A 21,102-nucleotide genomic window follows, 5' to 3' on the forward strand; every position below is an offset into this window, starting at 1 on the left:
CATTTCTTTTCACTGATGCTGGAGCAGCATGGACTACATTTATACCTGTGACACACATGAGGGAAAGCCCATTCTTGAATCTAAAACTGAAAGACATTAACAAAAGGGTGAAACATCATCCTTTTCTGGTCCTGAAGAAACTTTCCTTGTCCTGAATAAGCCTATGTTAGAAACAAGGGCTCTGAACATCTTAGGGCTTTCAGAGTGAAATGCTCTACCAGTTAATCCATTCTAGGAACTATAGTACTGGAAACAAAATATAAAGCTGGCAGAACCCAAGAGTACCTACATACCAGTATTGCCAACTAAAGTTGGTAATTTTGAAGAAAATGGGTAACCCACTTCCTATATAGGTTCTTCCATTAGCCTATTTAAATAATTCACGCTATTTTTAGAGAAGAAAATTTGGGTGGTGTTTTCAACTTAATGCTTCACTATCGGAAGAATCTGAAGTACAACAACCTGGGGAGGTTCTCAGATTCTTCTTTTTTTTTTCCTTTTCTTTTTAAGGGACTGGTTTGAGTCATCTGATTTAATGTTTACTGAATTAAATACTGTTTCAAACTGCCATGAGTTAGTCTCAGTTTTCCCTAAACCAGAAAACATCTGCCTCCATGAAAAATGCTTTAGCGTCAGGAAGTGTCAAACGCTACCTAAAAACTGCAGTAGCTGCTTTATGCCTGCATTTATCCCTCCCCTGATAAGGTCCTCGGGTACCTGAGCTGAGGAGAAGGGAACACACCCGATACCTGCAGGACCACTCTTCCCTGTGCTTCTCAACTTTTGAAAAACAAACCTCCAGGACAGACCTTCCATCATTTATATTTTAATGAAAAGAGGTACGGACCACTTACGTTTGTTTCCCGTATGTACTGCAAGAAATAGACGACGCCCAATTTGCAGAGGGCTAGGAAGACTGGAACTTGTGCATCTGGGCTGGCTTCAGCTGCCATGTCATAAAAACGTTTCGCAAGGTGAATATCCTATAATACAGGTAAGAAACAAAAATGCATTTCTTGTCAAAATAAGTAAAAATATTTAGTGAACATATTAGACGAATTTATTTTACCTTTGAGGTTTTCATTTTAAAATGAGTTTCCCTCACCTAAACAAAAATGCCAAGCTTTACTTGGGTAAAATTCGTTTAATTATCTAACTGCTTAATATTGAAAAACTTAATTAAAAAACTCATTTTCCCCCAACATAACATCTAATTTGCTGTGTAGATATGCTGCATACAGCCATATATCTATGCATTAACACTGTTAACCTAGAGATTTCCAAGGGCGACTTCTGAAACTCACACTAATTTTTTGCTACTTAAAACTTCAATCAGTATTAGCAACGTCTGGTTTCAGTTCTGGACAGTGATCTTCAAAGTGGGGTAGAAACACTCAAGATTTTACAACAGATGACAGGCACGGTGGCTCATTCTTTTTTATTTTTTTTTTGAGACAGAGTCTTGCTGTCACCCAGGCTGGAGTGCAGTGGCGCGATCTCGGCTCACTGCAGGCTCCGCCCCCCAGGGTTCACGCCATTCTCCTGCCTCAGCTTCCCGAGTAGCTGGGACTACAGGTGCCTGCCACCTCGCCCGGCTAATTTTTTGTATTTTTAGTAGAGACGGGGTTTCACCGTGTTCGCCAGGATGGTCTCGATCTCCTGACCTCGTAATCCGCCCGCCTCAGCCTCCCAAAGTGGGCTCATTCTTATAATCCCAACACTTTGGGAGAGCGAGGCAGGAGGATCACTTGAGGCCAGGAGTTCAAGACCAACCTGGGCAACATAAACTGTCTCTACAAAAAATAAGCCAAATTAGCTGGGTGTGGTGGCGCCTGCCTGTAGTCCCAGCTACTTGGGAGGCTGAGTGGGAGGACTGCTTGAACCCAGGAGGCAGAGGTTGCAGTGAGCTGAGATGGTGCCACTGAACTCTAGCCTGGGTGACAGAGTGAGACCCTGTTTCCAAAAAAAGAAACAGATTTTACAAGAGGTACTTGCATGGACATGTTAAGGGACTCGATTCTGCAGTTCTGCAGCTTCCATATGTGCTTTTTCCTGAAAGGGATCTGCTGAGAATAGGCCTGTATGCACAGCAACGTTTCTCTGCTTCGCTTTGCTAAAGGAAGGCACAGCCCTTATCTACCCCACTCTTTCCTCCAGTGCATTGTCTTGGGGTGTAAAAACCTCAGGGGCTACCACCGGAAGAGATCTACCCCACTCTTTCCTCAAGTGCATTGCCCTGGGGTGTAGAAACCTCAGGGGCTACCACCGGAAGAGATACCTTGAAATACTGGTTCTGGAGAAGGCTCCTTTATTGACTAATTATAAACCCTTATTAGGGCATCTTGTGTTTCCCTGTGTTAGATATATTTCTGTAAAGGGTGAAACCAGGCATTCTTAATTTTGGCCCAGGCTGGAGTGTTCTGAATTCAGATATGTAATAGAATGGGATGGTGGGAATTTTCACTTAAAAATCTCACTTCTACTCCCTATTATCAAAGAATACCAAACTCTTAAGAAAGAATTCCATGAGATATGAGGAAGAAAGGTTAAAGACCAAAAATGACTCCCCCTCCAAACATATTTAAATACAAGCAGTTATTTTCAGCTATTCCTTATTCTTGTCCTTAGGGTGTGTCATTATTTAAAAAGAAGAGCATCTTCAAATAATGCTAACAGTATGGTTAGTGTCTGAGTTTTTAGAAAAATATAACTCAAATGGTTTTTTCGACTGCTATATTTTTCAAGATCATGGATCAAACTTCATGTGATTCATACATTGGATGATTCACTAGGGTAATTAAATAGATTCACTAGTATGTAATTAAAACTTATCAAATAATATGATGATTTTTTCCAATTATAGTCAATCCTCATATTTAATATTTTCCTAACTATATTAAATGGGGGATTGTTTTTAGTAGCATGAATATTTTAAACCTCAAAAGAAAAAAAGTAGAAAAGGTGATCACGATGTCTTATAAAAAAAGTAATGGGACCGCGTGCAGTGGCTCACGCCTGTAATCCCAGCACTTTGGGAGACCGAGGCAGGTGGCTCATGAGGTCAGGAGTTCAAGACCAGCCTGGCCAAGATGGTGAAACCCCGTCTCTACTAAAAATACAAAAATTAGCCGGGCGTGGTGGCAGGCGCCTGTAATCCCAGCTACTCGGGAGGCTGAGGCAGGAGAATCGCTTGAACCCAGAGGGCGGAGGTTGCAGAGAGCCAAGATTGTGCCACTGCACTCCAGCCTGGGCAACAGAGTGAGACTCCATCTCACCGAAAAAAAAAAAAAGTAATGGAGTTACTGATTTTCATACATGATTATTTATTTTCATAAATGATTATTTATTCTCAAAAGCTAAACAAAAGTTCCCTCCCCCTACTCTTATCAAAGGAGTACTATGCCTTTTATCATATTCTTTATTCACAAGAATTTCTATTATTAGCTATACAGTGTATTACAAATTAAATTAGAACACATTTTCTTGTTTTATAAGCTATTATAAAAACAGATTAGTTATATCATTTTAATTTTGACTACAGTCAGTAAATTATTACTAGATGTACTCCATGAAAGCCATAACTTACATGTGATCTTTATATTAGTCATGTTAAACTTCACTTGAATTAAAAATAAAGTCAGCTGGGTGCAGGGGCTCATACCTGCAATCCCAGCACTTTTGGAGGCCAAGGCGCTTAAGTCCCCAGGGGTTTGAGACAAGCCTAAGCAACATAGTGGTACCCCATCTCCATTTAAAAAAAACGACAAAAATCCGTCAGCCTTTCTGATAGAAGCTAAGTCTAATTTGGGACACTGGATGACTGGTTTGACAATAAAGAGAAGCTTCAGTTACTACATTAAGTGGCAGAGATCTTCCAGAAGTTGAATGTACTGAGTTTGCTGCTCCTGAGCCTTGACTGAACTATATTTAAGTATCTAATATTAGTAATATTCTAAGTATTAAGGTAAGTTTAAAATATAAATATTTACATACTGAAATTAAAAGAAAATGTCCAAATGTGAACAAAGCAGCAGCATTTTGTCAAGAAAATACCGCATTAGCAAAAATGAACAACTTTCCCTCAATCCTTAGGTCAACAAAGGGCCTCTAAGTGACACAGGAAGGAGTATAATTAACAGCCTATTTCATAAGTCTTGGTAAAGCCTTTTGTACTCTTCCTAGAAAATAAGAAAAGTGAAAGGTCCCAGTGTCAGGGAATGCATGCTTTCACAAGTCTCTGGTTTCCAATTCTTTGCTTTCAACACAACTGAAGAGGGACCTATCAAGTAGTCAGGAGATTGATCATTAAAAATAATTTCTAATGACAAGTCACTCTGATTTTTGGCATCTAACTCTTAAGGTAGTTTGAAGAATTAAGTGACCATGCTATAGTGAAATTCTTCCCATTTTCACATACATGACATTCTAGTCATACATTTAAAAAAATGAAAAACAGAATTAATGTGAAATCTCAATTTTTAACAAATACTCCATTTATCTCATTAAAAGATGCATTTTCAATTAATAATACAAAAAGCAAAGTTTTATCAAAATGTATTTTGTAGATTTGATCAACAATGCATTAACTGACCAACTGTGACTAGTAATATCTCATGAATTTTTCTTAACACTTAGATCACTGGTAATAAAATTCAAAATGAATTTATACACTTGTTTGTTTCAGGTAAGTATGATACAGTAATCAATAAAAGACCTAAGCATTAAAAACAATACATTAGTATTACATTCTACAGAAGTCGTGGTAGAAAACATAAATTTAGGGAAACAGGAAAAGACCTAGCTTTCAATTAAAAAACTTGCTTGTATATTTCTAAAAAATTAATAATGGTAAGTGGGTATTAAATTATTGTTATTTAGATTCTATTGGATATTTTAAGGGTAATTAATTTTATTTAAAAATGTTAATGCTTAAAATAGCTGGAACTTAGACCCTTTGAAACTTAAGAAAAAATTTAAATGCCAACTTAAAAATGTACAAGGGGGTCTGTAGTTTTTCCAAATTCTTTTGAGGGCACACAGGAAAAACCTTAAGTCATGAGTCCAGAGAATGACAGACTTCATTAGGCAAGTGTAAGAATCAGAAATAAATTTATCAGTAGAATACATTTAATTCATTTCAAAATAATTTGAAAAAAATAGAATTTGGCTGACGATGGACAGATAGTTTCTCAAACAAGTAGTTATCAGCAGAGGAAGCACTGCACTTCCATTTTCATGAGTCTGTCTTCAGCTTAATCCCTAAATAAAACAGCGTGGATAGCAGTATCTGTGCGTGCTGGAAGATGAGAGATGGAAGGGCAGTCTTCTGAAATATTACAAATCAGTCCCATAATTTAGTGGCCTGAAATCCAACTGAATGTCAAGGAAAGTCTATTTTCTATACAAATGCAAGTATTTTCCCCAATCACAATTATGTGATTCAAACGTGTTTGGAAGCCACACTCACCTGTTTAATGCCCAGTCCTTTCTCATGCATATATCCCAGATTAAACATAGCTTGTGCACTGTGTTGCTGCTCAGAAGCCAGACGGTAATGAATAAATGCAGTTTCATAATCTACATCGGTGCCAAACCCATAGAAATGGTAGTCTCCGAGCTTAATTCTAGCCACAGTATAGCCTTAAACAAAAGTTAAATGCAGAACTGCCAATAAATAAAGTATGTTTAAAACAGATCAAACTTTTTTCTCCTCCCATTGACATGCTTACATAAAACAAAGAATTTTAATTCATAGTACACAAACTTTGTAACAAATCCTTTCAGCCAAGTTATAAAGTCCAGTAAAAATTTAAACTAGAAGTGTAGCTCTTCTGCAGAAGGCTTTGGAATACAGAGAGGTAAAACCAAGTTGGTGTGTGTGTAGGGGGACAGGTTTAATATCCCTAATTCAAAAAGCTGAAATCTGAAATGCTCCAAAACCTGAAATGACATTCAAAGGTCATGCTCAAAGGAAACGCTCACAGGAGCATTTCAGATTTCAGATTAAGGATGCTCAAACAATACGTATGTGCAAATATGCCAAACACAAACAAAAAAAACAAAAACATCTGAAATCTGAAACACTCTGGTCCTAAGCATTTCAGATAAGGGATACTCAACCTGTACTCCCTTCTTTCACAAACACTCCTATGTAAATGATCAGGCTCTACTTTATAATGTCATTTACATTTTAAAATAGTCCAGCTTGACCATTTAGGTTTGGAGAAGGGAACAGGCAGAGAATGTTGAAAGGAACATGTATAAAAAATAAATATTCAAAAGAAAAAGAAAAGTCTCTTAGGTTTCAGACTAATGTTCTATCATACATTCTATTTAATTCCCATTTCACACAGTATACTGGCCTCAAACTGGAAAACAAAGAGTGAATCATAGCTTGATGGAAATGTGTAGTACAAAGACTTTACAACCCAATTTAGAAACTCTGGCTCTAGAAACTTCTGTTAAGAATAAATACCAATAATATGCAAACAAATTAAGTCACAGTATCTCTGCTTAATTAATTATTTTATTGTTTTGAGAAGGAGTCTCGCTCTGTCGCCCAGGCTGGAGTGCAGTGGCATAATCTTGGCTCACTGTAACCTCTGCCTCCCAGGTTCAAGCGATTCTCCTGCCTCAGCCTCCTGAGTAGCTGGGATTACAGGAGCCTGCCACCATGCCCAGCTAATTTTTTTTGTTTTTTTTTTTTTTAGTAGAGACAGGGTTTTACTATGCTGGCCAGGCTGGTTTCGGTTTCGAACTCCTGACCTCAAGTGATCCTCCTGCCTTGGCTTCCGAAAGTGCTAGGGTTACAGGCGTGAGCCACAGTACTCGGCTTCATGATTTAATGTTCATGGGAGATAAACAACATAGGGAGGTCCCTGGGTGAAACTCTTATCTTAGAATTAATCACTTACCTTGAGAGGCGGCCCTGTTCCAATGTAGCAAAGCTCTGGGATAAGTTTCATTCTCACCTACAATGCTTGCTTCTCCTACAGGAAAAGAAATGAAATACAAATCAGGCATTTAAGAAAAGGCACTAGACTTAATTTTCATTTGCAAAGTAGGAAGGATAGGTGAAGCATAAGTTAAACAAGAATTAGGATATAAAAATTAAAACAAATACTGAAATTAATTACTGAACTAAAATAGTGAGTTCAAAGCAATCACTGGATGCAAGAGGGCACTACTTTGTGAAACATGTTGTATCTATAGAACCAGTCATGAGACTACTGAGTCACTCTTCTACAGTGTTGGGAAAATGGCATTTTTGTATCCACTGTATTTTGAAAAATACATTTATGCAAAGTGCTTAATTTTAAAATGAATGTCAAATCCATTTCTACAGTCAACTCGTTATAAAACTAACTTTGATGGCTAAAGTAAAATATTAATAACTTAAGCCTGTGTGTTCAGTTCCAGTTACAATAATAAAGAATGTTTCCTAGTAGCTTTTCTTTTTGAATACATTAAACAGTTTACTGGTGTGAACTCGTACATTCTAAACCTAAGGCAGGACTAAAATGAACCTTACTCTGATCAAGAATAAAGGCTGCATTGCTTTGTGCCACTTCATAGCCCTGTTCAGCCAGGAGGAGGTACTGGATCACTGCAGCATTGTAATCGCCATCTTTATAGCTGTTATAGGCAGTCATAAGCCTTTCAGACCAACGGCCTCGTTCACATACATTCTTAAACAACTGTGTGAGGTGGGGAAAAAAAATATCAGTAGAAGAAAATAAGAAAGATATACCAGAAAATCACTTATGCACTTTGGTTACACATGACTATTAAGCTTGCTCCTTCAATTTCTGGCAGCTTTCTTGAACAGACATAAAAGTTTGAGATACTTATTTAAAGTTTTCACTTACTCTTTAGAAGTCAACAGGTTTATAAAAAAAAAAAACAGTACACAATTATTGTACTACAAAAATGACCATTTACTCTGCCCGGGCACTGTTGTAATGATTTATGTATATTACCATTCTTAATCTTCCCATGAGATTCATGAGGAACCACCCTAGGAGGTAAGTCCTGTTAAAAGCCCCATTTGACAAGTGAGTAAACTAAAGCACAGAGATTTAGAAACTTTGCTAAGCATTTATCAATGTCACTCTAAAGTGCCAAGTCTAAGAGAGAGCTAAGAGACAATTTCCAATTAGGAGATATTAGCATTCCTTTTTGGAACATTCATTCAACTTCTTTTTCTTTCTTTCTTTTTTTTTTTTTTTTAAGAGATAGGTTCTTTCTATGTTGTCCAGGTTGGTCTCAAACTCCTGGGCTCAAGCCTTCATCCACCTCAACCTCCTAAGTAGCTGGGACTATAGGCACGTGCCATTGTGCTCAGCTTATATATTTTTTTGATGCTGATTATTATCAGATACTGTCTTAGGTGCTAGAGATACTGCAGACACCAGTATCTCCCCTTATACAGTTGATTGTAATAGGGAGACACTGAATAAATAAGTATGGTAATTACACACAGACCCCTCGGTCTTCCCTCAGTATATCAAAGCTAGGTAGGCTGAGTCTAGAACTACAGAAGAAAACATACAAAAAAACCAGAATTGAAAGCGCAGACTTTCCTGCTGGGCAAATCAACTCCCTACACACAAGCTGGTAGGAAAGACCTTACCTCCACTGCAGTGTGACATGATCGCATCACGCCGGTGCCACTGGCATGCATCTGAGCTAGGTTATAGAAAGCCAAGATATGGCCTCCCTGAGAAGCTAAATTAAAATACTTCAAGGCCTGTTTATAATCTCTCTTGACTCCAATGCCATCTGTAAGAAAAAAAAAAATCACACGAGATAATAGACTTAAGATTTAGCTAAGTATCAGAGAAGGCTTATATATGAAGAATAAAACTCTAATGAAAGAATTCTTACTGAGTAAATATGTGAATCTAATACAAGCTAACACACTGATACAGATTAATATAATTTACAATGAAAAACAAGATGTACAAATCATTGAACTGGGAGAACATTTAACCAGCCAGAATTTGATAGCACCCATTTCCACATCATAATGCCATCTAGTAGAAAACAGCTTAATTTAGATCTTGGTGTATCCATCATTAATTCCAGTGTTACTTACTATAGTACATGGAACCAAGCTGTAGCTGCCCATCCACCCAGCCTTGTTCAGCAGCTTTCTGGAAATACTTAAGGGCTAGATCATAATTCTGTAGAAAAAGATGTCATATGATGAGAAAGCTCAAAAGGCAGACATACTCAAAAGTTAAGAGATTTATTTAAAAAAATGAACAAAGCATATAAAAAAATATTCCCAAAGAGCCATTAAAAAGACCACTTTCTAATTCTTATAATAGATAATAATATACATTAAGTCATAGGGGGATTAATATTTAAGGTGGTGAAGAAAAGTAAATAGAGTTTTTGTGAAACAATTTGTATGCTGCTCTCAGAAAGCATAAAAACTAGTAGAACATCAGACCAGGAATTAAGAAACAGTCAATCTTCTCTGCTAACCAATCAACCCTTTTTAAACCTCAATTTTCCTAAAATTAAAGAAAGAAAATTATCTCCTTATTCATTTATTCCGTGTACCTTACCAAACACTATGACTATTATACTTCAAAGGTCATATGTATCCAAGAAGAAAAGTTAAAATAAAGGTTACTACTGAATTTTAGTGTCCTAGAATGACTAGAAGGCCGCAAAATGAGAACACATTACTGTCTTTTGTGTTAGAGAATACCTATAGATATTAAAAACCTAGCTCTTAAACCTAGCTCTTAGTTTCAGCCTCAAATTAAAAGCACATATTACTTGGAAAGATCAAATAGAGAAGGAAACTGCAACGTGAATCCAGGGACATCCAACATGAGGAGGCTGCACAGAAGGATGAGATGCAATGGCCAAGGAAACCCAGACACAGACAGAACACCAGGGAAGCGAGAGGTCAAGTGAGGTAGAACCAAAAAATGTCAATTGGACCGACATTTAGGAGGTTACTGGTGATCTGTACAGAGAGTATAGTTCCATGAAGCAGAAGTTCGATTGCTAAGAACTCAAGAGTGAATGACAGCAGCTTAGTTTGACTCTGAGTGAAGGGCTGGGAGAAGACAGGTGGTAGCTAGAAGGGGTAAAGGGCAGAACAGAAAGCTTTCCTCCTCCTCAATGGAAGGCAGTTATGCATTTTGTCAGGATTGAGTAAAAAAGCAGGCAAGGAGATGTTTAAGTCCTGAGAGATGGTTAGAGGACGTGGGGTAGAGAGCAGAGATGGAAGAACAAGAAACAACTCCATACCTCTGGGAGAAAGTGCCAGACACAGAGCTGTTCTAAGACAGTTGAGATGGTGTCTGTCGGGTATGGGGTGGTAGTGAGACAAACTCAGACAACAGAAAGAGGTTCAGCTTTGCTTACAATGGAACAGCCCCACCTGGGCTGACTGGAAGCTAATTAAGGAACATGTCCCTACCTCTCCAGCTGACTGCTCATTAAAGAGAGAATGTCAGACTGAACACTTACAACTTGAACTCCTCTCCCATAGAGGTAGGCCATTCCAAGCCCACTCTGTCCAACTGGGTTGCCCTGCAAAGCAGAGAAATCAGACAAAAGAGTGAAAAGAATTCATTCAAAAATAGGCAAGAATAAATAACTGCAAAATAAATCATTTATAAGCATATTCAAAAACATGTCTTAGTACTTTTCAATTCAAAACAAAACTTTCTTCTTCTCATCAGACTAAACATAATATTGACTTTTAGACATCTGGGGGCTTTGGGTAATTTGCTGAAAAAGAGTAAATAGTAAATTCATTTAGAATTACATTTTGTTGACTTACTTTATGACCATCTGTACCATGAATTTATGACATAAAGCATGACTAATGTATTTCATCAAAATGAAAGGCAGGTCACATTTTTGCAGTTTTTCACTGGTAACATCCCACTCCAATAAAGAGGGAGGATATCATGGAACACCTTGTAATAATAGCATAATCATGTAATAATAGCAATGCTGCTATCAGGTGACAAAGATATACTTAGGATTATTGGAGTGTCATGGAACAAAGAAAATCACTGTTTTGGGACTAGAAAGAAAAAAATCTAGAATTTGCCTAAACTCAGAGGGACAGAAGACATCTTTAAAAAGATTGTCATAGCATTCCTTTGGGAAGCATTCAAGTGACATCTGGAACTACAGTAACATGTATAATAGTTGACAGAGAGGTAAGTGTACATACTGAAGACATACAAGATTTCAGGTACTCATATGCAGTTTTCTGAGCCAAAGAAAGCCTAAATTATGTACTATGATTATCAAAAGTACCCTATTATGTAAGCTTTTAAATTTCATGTTGTGATACAAATAGGGTAGATTATATAAGTTCAAGTTCCATTACTAAAAATCAGTATTTCCCCGATTAGGAAACTTCTCAGTGAAACTTCACAATTAAAAATCAACAACTTGGTCCCTAAAAAAATTGCCTTTTATCGGGAGGGCTTTGTTTAATTAATACATTCACATGAATCATACTTAATATGCAGTTTCAATAATGTATAGCATGAGTTGGTTATGATTAACCCTTTAATATAACAAATTCATTTATTAAAATATTAGTAATATGGTACACATTTCAGTACACTGAGACAAAGCCTTACCATGTCAGCAGCTTTCTTAAAGTAGTGGAGAGCTGTCTCATTACTCTGAGGTACAATGTCACTTCCTTCCGAATACATCTGGAAAACAGATCCCAATTTCAGTAAGAGCTGTAACCCTCTCTCCAATTACATTTTTCTCCTTTCTCATCTCCTTTGAGTTTTGTCAGATCTCATTAAATCTTTCCAAAAAATTTAGAATTCCCCACAGGATATTTTAGAATTAAAAGCAAAGGCCGGGTACAGTGGCTCATGCCTGTAATCCCAGCACTTTGGGAGGCCAAGGTGGGTGGATCACCCGATGTCAGGAGTTCAAGACCAGCCTGGCCAATATGGCAAAACCCTGTCTCTACTAAAAATACAAAAATTAGCCAGGCGTGGTGGCGTGTGCCTGTAATCCCAGCTACTCAGGAGGCTGAGGCAGCAGAATTGCTTGGGCCCAGGAGGCTGCAGCTGCAGTGAACTGACAGCTTGCTACTTCACTCCAGACTGGGCCACAAAGCAAGACCTCATATCAAAACAAAACAAACAAACAAAAAAAACAAAAGAATTAAAAGCAAACTCTTAAAAGCAAACATTTTAGTAATTATATACTCTGTTGCCATCTCAAATTTATGACTTATTTATAAACATGAATACATAAAATCAGCTCATATATTAGTCTCAGAAGAAATCTTTAAGCCCAACATGAATCATTTTTCTCACTCTATTCCAGGGAAGTCAAATGGTTAGTAAGTTGCTTAGGATCAGATCAGTGATTCAACAAGGAAAGGGGAAGCTGCTTGCGGCATTCATTCTTCTTTCTCCTCTACCACTACTTTCCCCAGGATAAGATCACAAGTGGGTCTTAAGTTCAGGAAACGAAGTAACTAAAAGGTTTACTTGAAGAGGGTTTAAACACTAAACAATTAGAGCATCAGGTATGGAGAATGATAAAGGGCCAAGAGAAAGAAAAACAGAATGGTCAAGACTGTCTTTATTCACATATATGTTAAAGAAACAATAAATGTAAAAAATAGTTTTTAAAGACAATGACAGTAATTCAGAGCAAGAACCAAAAGAGGAGGAATGAAACGTTCTTAAATGCTTAACAAAAACAGAGGGAAATACCAAGTTCTATGCTATGGAACAGCTGGAATATTTAAATGTAGTTACCACACCCCAATTACTAGTATGATCATGAGGCAAATCATGATGAAATTTCCCTATTGTAAAAACCTTTGTGATATATTCCATCTAAACTTCCTTACTTTAGGATTTAGTTATAAGTGAAAATACCCATTGATTTATACTATGTTTCAAAATAATGAAAAAGTTTTGAGATTCTTCCATGACATATGGAATTTATTTATAAAGTTTCTAGACTTAAATGTTCTGTTCCCTTGATTGAGAACACAGCTACAATGAGAAGAGGTGGGTCATGGCTATCACATTTAAGACAATTAAAAACTCTGCAGATAAATTTCAACAAACTCTAATTGCCTCTATTCAGCATGGAAGGAAACAGACAACTGTGAGAGTCTTAGCAAAAAACCGCACAGCATCAAGAATACATTCCTCATTATTGCATACAATACACAAAAAGTAAGAGCTCAGTGAGAGCTAATTTCAATGAAGAATTAACATACTGATGAGCAAACACTATTTTTTTTTTTTTAGATGGAGTCTTGCTCTGTCGCCCAGGCTGGAGTGCAGTGGCGTGGTCTCGACTTACTGTAAGCCTCAGCCTCCCACGTAGCTGGGACTACAGGCGCCCACCACCACACCCGGCTAATTTTTTGTATTTTTAGTACAGATGGGGTTTCACCGTGTTAGCCAGGATGGTCTCCATCTCCTGACCTCCTGATCCACCTGCCTCAGCCTCCCAAAGTGCTGGGATTACAGGCGTGAGCCACCGCGCCTGGCTGCAAACACTATGTTATATTTAAGTTGCCTAAGAAAATGCCTCAGAACAGCACTTTAAGATATAATAGTCTTGCACTAGAAATCTTATTTCCAATTTATTTTTGGTAAATTGTAGATCCTGAACACAATACATGCTAATTATGCAAACACCTCTTGCTATTACATAAAACATTCACAGGATGTACAGTACCTTTCCCAAAAAGGCCATGGCATGTGAATTGCCAGCATTTGCTGCTAAATTGAAGTAGTCAAATGCTCTCTATGAGAAAAGAATTTATTAAAATAATTAGTTTTTAACAGAATCTGCTTTTGACTTTCAGCCAAAATAATTATTTCAGGAACATTTAAAAAATCTTGTTATATTACAGTGCTTTAAAAACAAGAATACCCAGTTGCCAATATTTTGAAAGAGAAATCAGTACATCTAGAAGTTTTATTTTACCAAATAACAGTACCATTTATCATTAAGTCATCTGCATAATTATAGATGCAAAGAAATTTCTTGTGCTGCCTAAACGTAAGGTACAACAAGCCTCCTGTTACTTACAGGCAAAGCGAACATCAGCCTGCTTAAAAGACATTTAAGAGCAGCTTGACTTCTTTGGTCTATTTCTCTAATGATAACCTGGGAGAAAGGAAAAACTAGAAGTCTTTCCAAGACATGGAGCATATTTTCATTGTTGTCTAAAGGAATACATTCCTCTTGTACTGTTTAGAGAAAAATTCTTGACCCTACTTAAAAATCACTTAAGTAAACACACTAGCATCAGCAGAAATTCATCATCACCACTCTCAACTGTATTGCAGCCCATTTTTGTTAAGGACCTTGTACCATTGGTTATTCCTCTTATTTTCCTTGCTGACTTAACTTCTCCCTCTTTTGGAACCAGTTCCCCCTCAATCACATTCTATAATCTCATCATCAAAAAATAAAACTCAGCAGGGCACGGTGGCTCTCACCTGTAATCCCTGCACTTTGGGAGGCCAAGACGGGCGAATCACTTGAGGTCAGGAGTTCGAGACCAGCCTGGCCAATATAGTGAAACTCCGTCTCTACTAAAAATACAAAAATTAGCCTGACATGGTGGCATGCACCTGTATTCCCAGCTACTCAGGAGGCTGACGCAGGACAATTGCTTGAACCCAGGAGGTGGAGGTTGCAGTGAGCCGAGACTGCGCCACTGCACTCCAGCTTGGGTAACAGAGTGAACCCTGTCTCAAAATAAATAAATAAATAAATAAAATAAATAAAAAATAAAACTCAAACCAAAACACACAAGATATGTATCTCCTTTAGACCCCCAATTTCTCTCCAATGATGACTGTTCTGTTAGCTACTTTCCTTCACAGCCAAGCTTCTCGAATAAATTGGTGACATGCACTTCAATTCACTCTGCAATCTAGTCTTAATTGGCTTCCATACACTACATCAAAAAGACAGCTCATCAAGGCCAGTGATGATCTTCATACTGCCAATCTAAATTTCAGCTCACCTCACTCCACCTTTCTCTGCAACATTTGGCAGAGTCCATCATGGCTTCCTTCTCGACAGACTCTTAGCTTGGCTAACAAGATGTCACACTCTCCTGGTTTCCATCCTAAGTCTACCTGTACCACCTAAGTCTCCTTTGCTGGTTATTTTTCTATCAGTTGACTTCTGAACATTAAAGTTCTTCAGGGCTCAGTTTTGGACTCCATTCTCACTTTGCATTCTCTAAGCAATCTCATCTATTCCCATAGATTCACACACCATCGAGATGATGGCAACTCCTAAATTTATATTTTCAGCTTCAATCCAGTCTATTCGACTACCTCTGAACACACTATCCAATGCCTGAACATATCCCTAAAATCTTCTCTTCTTGACCTCAACTTGCTTCTCCTCCAGCAACTCAATTTAAGCAAATGGCAATACCATCTTACTGGTTGCTTAAGATATCAGCTCCCCTTCACTTATATCCCATCCATCCCTAAGGCCTGTTACATTTACCACCAAATACATCTTGAATCCACTACTATCTTCCTTTACCGTAGTTCTAGTCCAAGCCACATTCTCTCTCACCTGAACTTCTCGAATATTCCCCTCCCTGATCTGCCTGATTTTATTCTTGGGGTCTTCTAATTCACTTTCTATACTGCAGCCAAAGCCATTGTTTTCAAATCTGAACATGCTGATCTTTGTAGCTCCTTGAAGTGCTGCAGGGATATGCTGATGTGATCAGGCACTGCTTAATCTCAGTTCTGTTTCATGTACTATGGGCAGACCAGTCATATTCCTGTAGTATGGGCAGACTAGCCATATTCCTTCCTGTCTCTGGGCCTATGCACATACCGTTCTTTTTGGCCTGGAAGGACCTTATCTCCAGGGTCAACTTAAATGTTTTCTACTTCTCTTTACAGAAGTCTTCCCTGGCAAGCGGTACCTCCTACCCATTAACCAATTATTGTATCTTTTAAATCTCCTTTGTAAGAATAACCACAATTTATATTTGGTGTGATCATTTAAAAAATATCTAATACTCCTATTAAAGTTAAAGCTCCAAAAGGTCAAAGACCAAAACTATTTTGTCCAATATTGCATGGTGAATGCCTAGCAGTGAATGGCACATAGTAGGTACTAATATTTGTATTCTTCAGCTTTCTTAGGGGTTGGTTACATCTTGAAAGCTCATTTGTGATGGGTGTTTAAATGACAGAAGTTTGATACTGGTATTGACTTAGCAAGAAATACATTGGGAACATCATTTCCTGCTAAAACTGAGATGCAAAGCCCTAGGAACAGGGTAGTTACCTGATGATTCTGTTCTACTCCACGCCCTCCGTGCAGGTGCAGTTGTCCAAGACCAACCTGAAAATGATCACAAACAAGGCAAAAGTAAGTGGTACCATCTGGCACACAATTAAAATCAGACCAACAAGAAATGATTTGGTCGTAAAATGGCTTCTGTTCATGACTCAAAAAACAAAAAGATTTAGTCTTAACTCCTGAAAATGCTATTCTACTTTAATTAACCTAAAAATTTTGAAAAGTAAAAACGTGTACTTGTAATTGCAAAGTACCATTTGCGGCCAGGTGCGGTGGCTCACGCCTGTAACCTCAACACTTTGGGAGGTCATGGGTGAATCACTTGAGCCCAGGAGTTGAAGAACAACTTGGGCAACATCGCAAAATCCTGTCTCCACAAAAAAATAGAAAAATTAGCCGGGCGTGGTAGCATACGCCTGTAGTCCCTGCTACTTGAGAGGCTGAGGTGGGAGGATCACCTGAGCCTGGAGAGGTCGAGGCTGCAGTGAGCTGTGATTGTGCTGCTGCACTCCAGCCTGGGCGACAGAGAGAGATGTTTTCTCAAAAAAACAAAAAACGGGCTAGGCACGATGGGCTCATGCCTGTAATCCCAGCACTTTTGGAAGCTGAGGTGGGTGGATCATCTAAGGTCAGGAGTTCAAGACCAGCCTGGCTAACATGGTGAAATCCCATCTCTACTAAAAATACAAAAATTAGCTGGGTGTGGTGATGGACATCTGTAATCCCAAATACTTGGTAGGTGAGGCAGGAGAATTGCTTGAACCTGGGAGGCAGAGGTTAAGGTGTGCCGAGATCGTGCCACTGCACTCCATCCTGGGTGACAGAGCAAGACTTTGTCTTAAAAAACAAACAAATGAATAAACAAAACAAAAAACAAAAACACAAAGTATCCTGCTAAAGTGGAAGTGAAATAAAGGCATTTTCACATAAATTAAAACTGAATTTGGGCCGGGCGCGGTGCCTCACGCCTGTAATCCCAGCACTTTGGGAGGCCGAGGCGGGCAGATCACGAGGTCAGGAGATTGAGACCATCCTGGATAACATGGTGAAACCCTGTCTCTACTAAAAATACAAAAAAATTAGCCGGGCATGGTAGCGGGTGCCTGTAGTCCCAGCTACTCGGGAGGCTGAGGCAGGAGAATGGCATGAACCTGGGAGGCGGGGCTTGCAGTGAGCCGAGATTGCACCACTGCACTCCAGCCTGGGCGAGAGCGAGACTCCGTCTCAAAAAACAAAAACAAAAACAAAAAAAAAACTGAATTTGTCCCCAGTGAACCTGCTCTAAAGGAAACACAAATGGGTGCTCTTCAGAAAAAAGGAAACTTACTAGAAGCTGGGAGATACAGTAAGAAATAAAGAGCTGGCTAGGTGTGGTGGCTAATGCCTGTAATCCCAGCCTTTGGGAGGCTGAGGTGGGTGGGATCACTTAGACCAGGAGTTCAAGATCAGCCTGGCCAACATGGTGAAACTCCATCTCCACTAAAAATACAAAAATTAGCTGGGTGTGGTGGTGCATGCCTGCATTCCCAGCTACTTGGGGAGGTTAAGGCACAAGAATCGCTTGAACCCGGGAAGCGGAGGTTGCAGCGAGCTGAGATAGTGGCACTGGGCAACAGAGCAAGGATCTGTCTCAAAAAATAAAAAATAAAAAAATAAATAAAAAGCAATGAAAAGGTAAATTTGAAAATAAATGTAAATTAATATGGACTGTACAAAACAACAGTATCTCATGGTACCAAAATATATAAAATCAAACACACACAGAATACTCTGAGATCTCTGTGCTGTCCTGGAAATGGTAAAAGTGCTCATCGTACCAGACTTTGGTAAGTCAAGGATGCATGTTGTGATCGCTAGATAACCACTACAAGAGTAGCATCATGCTGGCAGAGGGGAAGAGATGCAACAGGAAAAAGCACTCAACCAAAAAAGGGCAAGAAAGGAGAGAAGAGTAAACACAACAAGCAAGATACACAGAAAGCAAGTAAAACAGAAAATTTTAAGTAAACTAAATTTTACAATAATGTAAAAATAAGATGTTTAATTGAACAAGTTTATTATAATTTCTATCAGCTAACATTTAGATCTACGTTTCACTACGTTTTTTTTTCCTTAAGACTCCACTGCTAGTCTTAAAACCAACTGTTCTTAATAAGTATCTAATGCTCATCTGTACATGTCCTAAATTAGAAATAATTGCAAACTTAGTGGAAAAAAATATAAATGTTAAAGTTCTTTTTATTTTAATATCAAAAGAAGCCACGAAACCTGTGTGTGCACACATGGTACTTTGACGGACATTATACAACTTCCATTAAACGAGCTTACTTCTGTTCTTGACCTTGAAGAAATTATGATTTTAGATGAGCCAAAGAAACACGAATGGTAAATAGCTCTGAAGAGCATCTGATATTGCAAATATTCCAGGGACTTCTTGTTTAGAGAAAGTGACAGTTTTCATCATTGGTGACTCCAGTAACAGCCTTCATCATCGGTGTTAATGCTGCTCTGTTCAAGCAGTGATTTTTTTAGGGGCAGTACACGGGAGAGTCACCTGGACAGTTTTAGGAACCCTCAATGCCTAGGCCCCATCCCACACTAACCCAAATGGAATCTCCTGAGAGTGTGAGACTCTTGGTTTTTTTTTTTAAGGGGCTCAGGTGATTCTAATATGTAGTTCATAATTGCTCAGGGCAATGAAAATGTAACTTACAGATATAAGTGCTTGCTCCCGTCCCCCACAGATTAAAATATACAATGCAGTAAAGATATTTGGTGAGATGTTCAAACACGTACCTGTGCTTGTACATCACCTTTTTCAGCTAGGAACTGGTAATATTGAATCAAATCTTCTTCTAGCATTCCACTGTTCATTCCTGGATTTTCCACTTCATCAGGCAGCCGTATTCTCTGTACTACTGAGCCTCCTGTTAGCGAGATATCACTAGCAACTGAAATAGAGGGATAAAACAATAAGGTGGAGGAAAATCAGAAGAATTGTTCCAGAGAGAGAGAAGTACAATTCCAGCTGCCAAACGTTGACGAACACATTGTTAAAGGAAGCTGTTTTTACAGTAGTCTATATAGATCGCAAATCAGTAATCTATTAATAAATTGAACTTTTTTCACAACGTAAATAGAACCTAAAGCAAAATTATATAAAGAAAAAAGTACTTCTGAACCTCAACTAGTTTAAAGATGAGTCCACATAAAAGAGCCATTTATAATACTTCAAATAGAACAATAAAAATAGAAATGTTTAAAGTTAATTCCATTTATTTTTTTTTCCTAAAAGGTAAAAGGGGAAACATAGATACCATGATTGGCAACAAGACGATAGTGAGTCAGGGCAGATTCACAACTCTGGAGGACGCCGATGCCAGCCCAGTATCTGTAACCCTGTAAAACAACTTCACGTGAGGAGGCAGCAGTTTCATGTACTTCAGTGTCATTCTTCGTGGAACAAATAAAGCTAAGCATACCCAGAATTTTGCTGTCATTTGATCCAAGTACACTAACACCTTATTTATGCTAAGTGTTAGGTTTTGAGGTAATGGATTCAGCAACTTCAACAAGAAGGCCATAGCTAAGAGCAAGGAAATAAATAATATAGTTCCTAGAGCAATCAAAATAGATGTCATAAACTTTATTTTTGAAGTGTGTGCATTTTACTCATAAGAGAAAAATTATAAGGGCTTTTGCTTAGAACCAGTTTTAATCTTAGACATAATTTTATTAAAAATGAGTTAATCTTCCAAATTAGCAAAGAAAAAGTAACAAATTAGCAAAATAGGGAAAATGAGACTACTGGAAGCAGGCACAGTGTCACTAGCAATAAATGACCAGAATAAATGGGAAGACAGCCAATCATGAAAAGTAAAAAACAGAAAGTAGAGCTCTCTGGAGTCATTCTGCACAAATAACTCCATGAATTTTAACAATTCTTAGGGCATTGTTGCAAAATATTGTATAATATTTCATGTTGTTTTTCTATAGCCACCATTTACAAAATTTTGAAAAACTAAAGAAAAATTTTTAAAATTATGATAATCTAATGTAAAAAATGATTCTGACAATTCCAACTCAGAGAAAATTTAAAAAGAGCCATTTATCAGATCTCTCTTTTTAGGGGCAATCAGCCAAACTAATCATTTTAAAGAAAAATTGTGGACTCCACCAACTTTCATTTACATGTAGATTCCATGTGTTATATCCATTAACAAGAATTTGAAGGAAGTTCAACTGAATATTTGGTCTTAATACAAGCAAATCTGGATCATGAAAGCTGAAAAAGTTGTGGCCGCTATAAACCACAAATTCTTCTGATGTTAATATTATTAGCCTTCCACTAAAGTCTACTTACCAAAACCATGTGGGCTATTAGATTGCCCCCAAGAGCTCCAAATGTATAATATACAAGAGCCTGTGAAAGAACAAAACATGTTTAACTGAACATAGGCACGCATTTATTCAATTCAAATTGTAATATGCAATAAAGTTTTAATAGTATTACCTTTGCCTGACTTGAATTAACACCAAGTCCAGAGGCATACAGAAAGCCAAGAGCCTGAAATAGATGATAAAAGTAAGAAATCTTGCTTTGGTGAAGGTTTATCCAAGACAGACACAGACAGACACAGTTTTATATACTATGAAAAAATGCAAGAGTCTTTAAATGCTAAAAGATTTGAATTCAAGTATGTACAAACATGGATTAAAGAGCCTTGGAAAAGCATTCAGAGTTTTACACATTACACAATTAAA

The 21,102-nt window shown here is 37.9% G+C and overlaps 1 protein-coding gene across 5 annotated transcripts in view; it reads right to left on the reverse strand.

The window, feature by feature from the left end:
* Window positions 1-21,102, reverse strand: part of SEL1L (SEL1L adaptor subunit of SYVN1 ubiquitin ligase) — a 62,307-nt gene that overhangs the window by 7,211 nt on the left and 33,994 nt on the right. For 2 of the 5 annotated variants that reach the window (XM_005267988.4, NM_005065.6), the window contains exons 7-20: window positions 20,852-20,905; window positions 20,702-20,761; window positions 19,656-19,737; window positions 19,135-19,289; window positions 16,324-16,380; window positions 13,723-13,791; window positions 11,631-11,708; window positions 10,495-10,557; window positions 9,098-9,185; window positions 8,633-8,781; window positions 7,532-7,697; window positions 6,915-6,989; window positions 5,468-5,640; window positions 855-983 (exon numbers count right to left, since the gene is read on the reverse strand). In XM_005267988.4, coding sequence (XP_005268045.1) covers window positions 855-983; window positions 5,468-5,640; window positions 6,915-6,989; window positions 7,532-7,697; window positions 8,633-8,781; window positions 9,098-9,185; window positions 10,495-10,557; window positions 11,631-11,708; window positions 13,723-13,791; window positions 16,324-16,380; window positions 19,135-19,289; window positions 19,656-19,737; window positions 20,702-20,761; window positions 20,852-20,905 — 1,398 coding nt within the window. Of the gene's footprint in view, window positions 1-854; window positions 984-5,467; window positions 5,641-6,914; window positions 6,990-7,531; window positions 7,698-8,632; window positions 8,782-9,097; window positions 9,186-10,494; window positions 10,558-11,630; window positions 11,709-13,722; window positions 13,792-16,323; window positions 16,381-19,134; window positions 19,290-19,655; window positions 19,738-20,050; window positions 20,762-20,851; window positions 20,906-21,102 lie in introns of those variants that run through there. The other 3 variants (XM_047431676.1, XM_005267989.5, NM_001244984.2) reach the window with 2 other exon arrangements.

The sequence above is a fragment of the Homo sapiens genome, chromosome 14 (genome assembly GCF_000001405.40).
Source record: "Homo sapiens chromosome 14, GRCh38.p14 Primary Assembly".
Taxonomy (NCBI): Eukaryota; Metazoa; Chordata; class Mammalia; order Primates; family Hominidae; genus Homo; species Homo sapiens.